Source organism: Homo sapiens, chromosome 2, assembly GCF_000001405.40.
Source record: "Homo sapiens chromosome 2, GRCh38.p14 Primary Assembly".
Classification (NCBI taxonomy): domain Eukaryota; kingdom Metazoa; phylum Chordata; class Mammalia; order Primates; family Hominidae; genus Homo; species Homo sapiens.
The window spans coordinates 195,729,475-195,737,702 of record NC_000002.12 but is presented as its reverse complement, the minus strand read 5'-3'; the positions used below and the strand labels follow the sequence as shown (position 1 = coordinate 195,737,702).

At 37.4% G+C, this 8,228-nt stretch overlaps 1 protein-coding gene across 8 annotated transcripts in view; it reads right to left on the bottom strand.

Moving 5' to 3' along the window:
• Nucleotides 1-2: 2 nt before the first annotated feature.
• Nucleotides 3-8,228, bottom strand: part of SLC39A10 (solute carrier family 39 member 10) — a 124,672-nt gene continuing 116,446 nt past the window's right edge. For all 8 annotated transcript variants that reach the window (XM_011511504.3, NM_001127257.2, XM_005246689.5 and 5 more), the window contains one exon: nt 3-2,820. In XM_011511504.3, the coding sequence (XP_011509806.1) occupies nt 2,662-2,820 (159 nt within the window). In that variant the 3' untranslated portion in view covers nt 3-2,661. The remainder of the gene's footprint in view (nt 2,821-8,228) is intronic.

Genomic DNA, 8,228 nt, shown 5'->3' with positions numbered 1-8,228 from the left:
TATTTGCTCTCTTTGAGTAACTTTATTTTGGAGGAGTTCCATAAGCATTAGGAACATACATAAAATGACACACCACTGTTGACAATGAAAAAAAAAAAACAGCATTTGATATTTTCCAGCTTTTTAAGTTAAAAAATGATTCAGTTAAAACAAAACAAAAGTTTAGATATTTTAGCAAGAATCACCTTGCAGGACCATAATCACATTTAAGCCACTGACTTGTTTGTTTGTTAATGGAAAAAATTCACACTGCATCTAGTTACTATAGTATTTCTAAGCATAATCAATCAATCACAGCTGATTGATTGAATGCAATGTGATTGATTGATTGATTGATATATACCAAAATTCATATGGATGTCACACAGTGACAGCATTGTACAAGTAACGTTAATGACCTCCAACAAACACATTTTAAATTAGACTGGTCAAGCTAAAAGGAATGTTGGAGCCAAAAGAAATGTAGTGGAATTCAGATTGTCTATTAAGACTTGAAACTATACATTAGAATGATGTGGAACCCTAATACTAGCAGCAACTGTTACAGCCCTCTTAAAAGATTTGTAAGAATCTAGCAAATAAAGAAAGATAATACCATTTTTGAGAGAATATAAAACTTCTTTATATACTTCAGCATAACCTACTTGCTTTAAATCAATCAGGCATTTATTTTAAAACTGGGAGTATATTCCAGCTATTGCTTTTATAAAGGTTCTAAAATGAAGCAGATTTAATGCTGGAATGCAGAATCCTACCGTGGGTATAAAAACCCAAAAGTGAACTATAAATATATCTTGGTTCAGAAATCTAGATAGATAGATATCTAAATCACTTGAAGTTGGCAGTACTAAATAAAATATCAGCACCTTTTAGCTAGGTTGCTTGAAGGGCCAAGCAATGAGATGAGGACTGTCCTAATTCAGTGCCCAATGCTGAAAATTAATTATATATAAAACTTCTACTTATTATAAGGAGGCCATGGAGTAAGTCAGAAATAATTTTTCAGATTCAAGCATAAATTAAAGAAATAACACCTAAGCTCCCTTGCTTATAGCATACAGAAAAGACACTGGCAATAATCTATAAATACCTGGATGCATGTGCTGCTCTCAAAGTTTTGTTTTTGTTTTGAAGTTCATAGAGTAGGAGGAAAGAAGAGTACTAAATGAAAACATTTTAGATGGAATGGAAAAGAGTTTGGCTCTTATATATTTGAACAATAAGATAGATTGTTACAGCAGCTACACTGGTTGCCAAGCAGATTAAAACAAAGCTAGCTGCACATAGTTCAAATACAGTTTACCTGGCATAAATGAAGACCATGTGGCATAGGATGTAAACAGAAAGCTACATGCATATGACTAGTAATACAAATTATTAAGTAAAAATTCAGGATAAACATGGCTTGCACTTCTCACAAATCATTCACAATTATGGTAGGAGAACAGGGCACCTAAAAGACTAATCCCTATCAGGCACCAACAGCATATCTTGGCACAAGATGATCAAGTGATTTCAGCTGAGTAATTTAAATGCATCTTCCAAGTCACTTGGGTACCATGACAGCCATGGCAATAATGGAGTTTATCCTAGTAACTGTTCTAAATTGACACTTCATGTACACATTACAGACATGGTAAACTTCGATTTTCTGCTTTACAACCTTGTAGCCAGCCACGACATGTGCTCTTGGTTCCAGTGCCAAACTGGTAAAGCAATGTGAACATTCAGAACTTACATTTCCCAATTAACTAGTTGGTACTGTTAAAATAGGAAAATCAACTATTTAAACCACGTCTGGTTCATTTCTTTGATATTTTCTAGAGGGTTACAATTTTTTAAAAAGACCACATGCTCCAAACCCTCACCTACCCCCGCCAAAAAAAAAAAAAAAAAATCAAAACAAAATTAAAGTAAAAAACAAAACAGAAAGAACACCCCAACACCAAGTATTATAATAATACAAAGAACCATTATGAATCTTTCATTAAACTGAAGCTCACACAAACATACAATCACAAATTTCAGTAGTTTAGGCTGCAGGTTTAAACACTATGCAAATATATACAAAAATAGTAACTCTAGATTCAAGAATAAGGGCTTTTCCCAATGCTAAATTCATACTCTAATGCAGCCTGAGCTTTCCTCTAGTTCCTATGTCTACTTTATGCAGTTTCAAAGTTGTGTCAAGTTGATCCCTATCACCACATGAATATATGTAGCTGAATTAAAGAGCACTACAATTCATTCTTAAAACACACAAAAAATGTCTCCCCAAAGTCCATTTAAAATATTTTTAAAGTTTAAATGATTTTTTTTGGTTCGATCTCTATTTCTGCATAGCCACAGAAGTTTCTACTAATAAAGAGACTAGTGTTTTATATGATTATTTTGTGAAAAGTCTTAATCAAACATATCAACACTGGTTCATGGAGTCCCATATTCTCCTCTCTTTATCACAAGCTTTATATTTTTAAAAGACCCCTACGTGCAGGGAAAACAGTACTAAGCACCAGCCTCTTGTGGTTAGGCTCAAATCTATGAAACTTGTAAGTAGTGCAAGCCACTGACTTTCCTTTGAGCAATGTGCATACAGTACAAGGAACAGATGCAAAGCTGCATGGTAACATTCTCGTAATCAACAGTGATTACTGGGAAAGGTCAAAACTGGATGTCAAACACAATTTTATCTTCATAGAGGGCAATCACCAGCATAATGGCAAATCCAAAGAGCAATCCTAAATTCTGAAGGATGAATTGCCCCACAGGACAAAAGCCATGTTCTTCATTGTCACCATCACCATGCAACATTTCTGGAAGCTAGAAAAATAAATCTTCACATTAAACTTTGTATAATACTTCTGCTCAAAACAGTTTTTAAAAACATTTTCCTACTTAAGAAAATTAGTGACTGAAGTGTAACTACAGACAAAATAATTATTTTATTGAACACAATGCTACCCACCAGATGTATTTTAGTCAAATACTGAAGAAATTTTATGCTTTTGCTAGGAAATACTAACTCTGTTCCCTCCTCCTCATCCCCCACAACAAACACTTAAAATATGCACATTAGTCATTTTTCAAACAGTTACTATCCACTGACCTTATAAATTCTGACATTTTACTTTATGCTAAAGCATAAAGCAACTTATTACCAATAAGACACTCCAAAAACCGATCACCACAATTCCCACATTTACTAATGTATCTTAAACTCAATAAGAAAGCAAGATTCTTGGGCCGGGCACGGTGGCTCACGCCCATAAATCCCAGCACTTTGGAAGGCCGAGGTGGGCGGATCATGGGGTCAGGAGTTCAAGACCAGCCTGGCCAATATGGTGAAACCCATAAAAATACAAAAATTAGCTGGGCGTGGTGGGGCACGCTTGTAGTCCCAGCTACTCGGGAGGCTGAGGCAGGAGAATCATTTGAACCTGGGAGGCAAAGGTTGCAGTGAGCTGAGATCACACCACTGCACTCCAGCCTGGGCAACAGAGCAAAACTCCATCTCAAAAAAACTTTTTTTTTTTTTTTTTTTTTAAAAAAAAAGGAAGATTCTTTTGGGAAATGGCCTAATTCAAAATGGTTTCACTTCTTCACTCTTTTCCACTTGAAATTCTTATTTCCCACTGCTCATGACAGCAAAGAGATACTTGGGGACAAATCCAAATTGGCATCTCTATGCCCTTATGCCATTGCTTTCATTCCAATAACAGACACAGAAAACAACCTAGCAGAGCTATCCAGCATAACTAGTACCAAGTCATGCACACTGCCCTCACAGTGTATTCTCTTAATATTGTTAAAATTTCAAAATTCTGAAAATTATCACATCTTTGAAGGCACAGTGCTTTGAAAAGTTTATATATGGCTGGGCGTTGTGGCTCATGCCTGTAATCCCAGCAGTTTTGAGAGGCCGAGGCGGGCAGATCAACTGAGGTCGGGAGTTTGAGACCAGCCTGAACAACATAGAGTAACTCCGTCTCTATTAAAAATACAAAATCAGCTGGGCATGGTGGTGCATGCCTGTAATCCCAGCTACTCAGGAGGCTGAGGCAGGAGAACTGCTTGAACCCAGGAGGCGGAGGTTGCGGTGAGCCAAGATTGCGCCACTGTACTCCGTCCTGGGCAACAAGAGCAAAACTCCGTCTCAAAAAAAAAAGAAAAGAAAAGTTTATATACTTAATTTCTAAAGCATACCACATACTATTACATCTAAGAATAATCTGTAGATTCAAAATATAAAAATTAAATTCCTTTAATTTGTCTAAGTAAATAAGATTTGTGGAAGAAATACATTTGCATCATTATAGGCATACATTCTTTCCACCCAAACCTAATCTAAAATTGTGAAGGAATTGCTACTTCCAATTTTTACTTTCACTTTTCTGCAAACATAATTCAAATTTGCAGTCATTATCTACAGAAAGATGACACTGATATGCTACCCTCTGGGACACTACGTTTTGCTCCAAAACAGTATCTTGGTGATTTGGGTTTAGGGAGGAGAAATCTAGTGTTAAGTCACATAATTCTTAATTCATACTTCTTCCTGTCTAGGAAGAAACATCATTATTTGTTATTAAATAATGGGTACAATTAATCTAACCACCATGCTCTGACAGTGCTATGGTATATTTTAGCAATCTCTTAAAGGTCATATTTAAGAACTACAGCATGCTATCATAAATTCTGTTTAAAAGTCTATGGTAATGGTATATAATAGCTAGTAAAGATTATTTTCTTGTCCAAACCATTCACAAAATCACTTTATCAAATCAACTAATGGTCTAAGGGTTGGCAAACCATGCTGAATCTGGCCATGCCTATTCATTTACACATTGTCTATGGCAGCTTTTGTGCTACAACAGCAGAGGCGCTGTCCCAGGAACCACACACTACCACAGCAGAGTTGAAAAACTGTGACAGAAACCATATGGTCCCCAAAGCCTAAACCATCTACTATCTGGCCCTTCAAACTGACAGCTTCCTACATATGGTTCTAGTAAGACTATTTTACTCTATCCTTTCTCCTCCTTCCAAGTTTTTATTGTTACAAAGATTTTTCATTATGACTTTCCTTAAATACTTAAGCATAAACAATATGCAGCATGTTTTACAGAAATATGCCCTCTAGATATGTATACATACCAACTAGAATAGGAACTATGGCTTTGCCACATTTAATTCTAACCTGAATGTCAACACCCACACTGTTTGTCATAACCACAGCTAAGAGCCAACCAACACCTACCGGTATGGCCATATTTGTTTAAAATATTACATAAAAATGCTTTGATACTGATTGATAAACAGCACCACCCAAAGTCCTCTACAACTAGATACTTCCACCTGGTTATCCTATAGGTATCTCAAACTAAAACTTCTGGTACTGTTGATATCTTATTGAATGGCTTTAAATCAATAAAAGTCTTCCTCCATAGAGCCAAAGTCTTTCTGAAACAAAAATGTGATCATGTCATTCTACTGCTTAAACTTTTTCATGGCTCTCCAAAGTTTACAAGATAAACTCTCATCTTTTTGGTATGGCATGTTGTGCGACTGTCAGGATATGGCCAACACCTACCTGACGACAATATGGATCCATTTTTTCCTACTTAACATTAGAAAATACCCAATTTCTGGGTCATTAAAATCTCACAAAATATATGTGGACAGTTTCTTCCCTTTCTCTTGAACATTTAGAGTGTTTCCAATATAATTGTGACATTATAAATACTACTGCAAAGAACCACGTAGTGAGGTTTTATTTTTGTTTGCTTGTTTTATCAGGAGTAGTCATGTTATTTCCTCAGAATATAGTCCTAGCTATAGACTTACTGTTCAAAGGAATGATGTTATAAATCATTCAGCTTCCTCATACGACCCTTCCCCTTGCTTCTAATAAACTCCATTCTTTAGGACTCAGCTCGGATTTTTTTGATGGAAAAACTTTCTATTCCCCAACTTTTTAGCCAGCCTCTCTGTAGTTCCACAAACATGGTGCAAAACTCTATCATAACACATATCAAAATAACTGTAGTTATGACTTTTCTTCTTCATTAAACTATAAATCCTTTCTGTAAAGACTCATTCTTCTTGTATCTGTAACTTTCTAGTGTTACAGATGTAAGGAAATACTAACTATATATAAACTAAATTTCCAGCAGTATATAAAATAAGACAAAAATGCCTGTCCTCCCAGAGCTGACATCTTAGTGGGGAAGACAATGAACACGATAAATAAGTAAAATGGTGTTAATAGGTTGAGATACACGTACAAAGGAGAAAAAGTAAAGCAGGGATAGAGGATATGAAATGTTGAAGGGGAGATTTAAATTTTAGATAAGATGCCTCCTAAGCAGGAGCTAGCCATGAGGACGTCTGCAGGAAAACTATTCCGGAGGGGTGATCAGCAAGTGCCACAGCCCTGACGCAGAATGTCCCTCAGGGAGAGTGGGAGGATTTGAAGTAAGGATAGGAAAACTAAGGAGGACAAGGGAGTGGAAATGTTCAAGGATGATGAAAAACTTTGCAAGTCAAAGAAAGAACTTTAGGACTTTTACTCTGAATGGGATGAAAAACCACAATGTGAAGCATACAAATGTGATGATGTGATCTATGGCTTAAAAGGATTGCTCTAGTTGAGCTGATACAGAGTTGGAAGGCAGGGCAAGGACAGAGCAGGGAGAGTAGTTAAAAAGAGAAAGATGGTGGTGGCTTGGATGAAAATGATGAGGGTACAGGTGGTTAGGCGAAAGAGGCCTCAGGACTTTCTGGCAAACAAGATGTGGGAGGGCAAAAAGTTGAGTCAAAGGACAACACTCAAGCTTTTTGAGCAACTAGAAGAATAGAGGTATCATCATTTCTGAGATGGAGACTTCTGCAAGACAGGCTGGTCAAGTAGTAGTGTTGGCAACGTCAAGAGCTGTTCTGAACATGTCAAGTGCACAATGCCTTTTAGACATTCAAGTACAGTTGGATTAGTCTGGAGTTAAAGGAAAGGCCTATAATAAAGATACGAATTTAGGAATCATCAGCCAACAAATATTTAAAGCCATGAAACTAGATGAAATTACTTACATCTTTTGCCAACATTTAGATGCAGGGGGAGAAGAGGAGGATCCAGTAAAGAGTCTGAGAAAAGCCAGCAAGGTGGAGAAAAGGCCAGGAAATTGTGGTATTATAGAAACCTACTGACAAAAGACTGGGCGTGATGGCACATGCCTGTCATCGCAGCTACTTGGGTGGCTGAGGCATGAAAATTGCTTGAACCCAAGAGGCGGAGGTTGTAGTGAGCTGCGATCATGCCACTATACTCCAGCCTGGGCAACAGAGCAAGACTGTCTCACAACAAACAAATAAACAAACAAACAGAAGCCTACTGACACAAAAGCATTTCAAAGAAAAGAGAATGACCAACTGTCAAGTTCTGCTGTTATGACAAGAAAAATGAAGACTGGAAAATGACTAGCAGACTTAGCGATGCCATGGTCAATGGTTAATTTGACAAAAGCAGTTCTGGCAGAAAAGTCAGGGGGAAAACCTGCTTAGGTTTGGCTCAAAAAAAGAGGAAAATTTAAAAATAAACAATGGGCAGGGCATGTTGGCTTATACCTATAATCTCAGCACTTTGGAAGGCTGAGGCTGGAGCATTGTTTGAGGCCAGGCATTCAAGACCAGCCTGGGCAATATAGTGAGACTCCGTGTCTACAAAAAAAAAAAAAAAAAAAAAAAATTAGGCATGGTGGTGTGCACCCATGGTCCCAGCTACTCAGGAGGTAGAGGCAGGAGGATCACTTGAGCCTGGGGAGTCGAGTCTGCAGTGAGCTATGATTGCACCATTGCATTCCGGCCTGGGTAACAAAGTGAGACCCTGTCTCAAAAAATAACCCAAAACAAAACCAACCAAAATATCCTAAAAGAGAGCAGCAATAGGGTGATAGCTAAAGGGGAAGTTGGAACTAAGAGAGGTCCCCCACCTCTTTAAGAAGGGAGAAGTAATATGAGGTTTATAGGCTAATAGAAATAATCCAGCAGAAGGGGGGAAATGGTGTGGGAAAGAGAAAGGAGAATTTAACGGAGTCAGCACGAGAGGATCAGTTCTAGGGAACAGTTTGCAGGAGCACCAGCTAGGAAATTTCCTTTTGGTAACAGGAAAGAATGTAAATGGGCATAGATACAGCAAGGTAAGCAGAAGTGATGATGAGAACTTGTGGATTGAT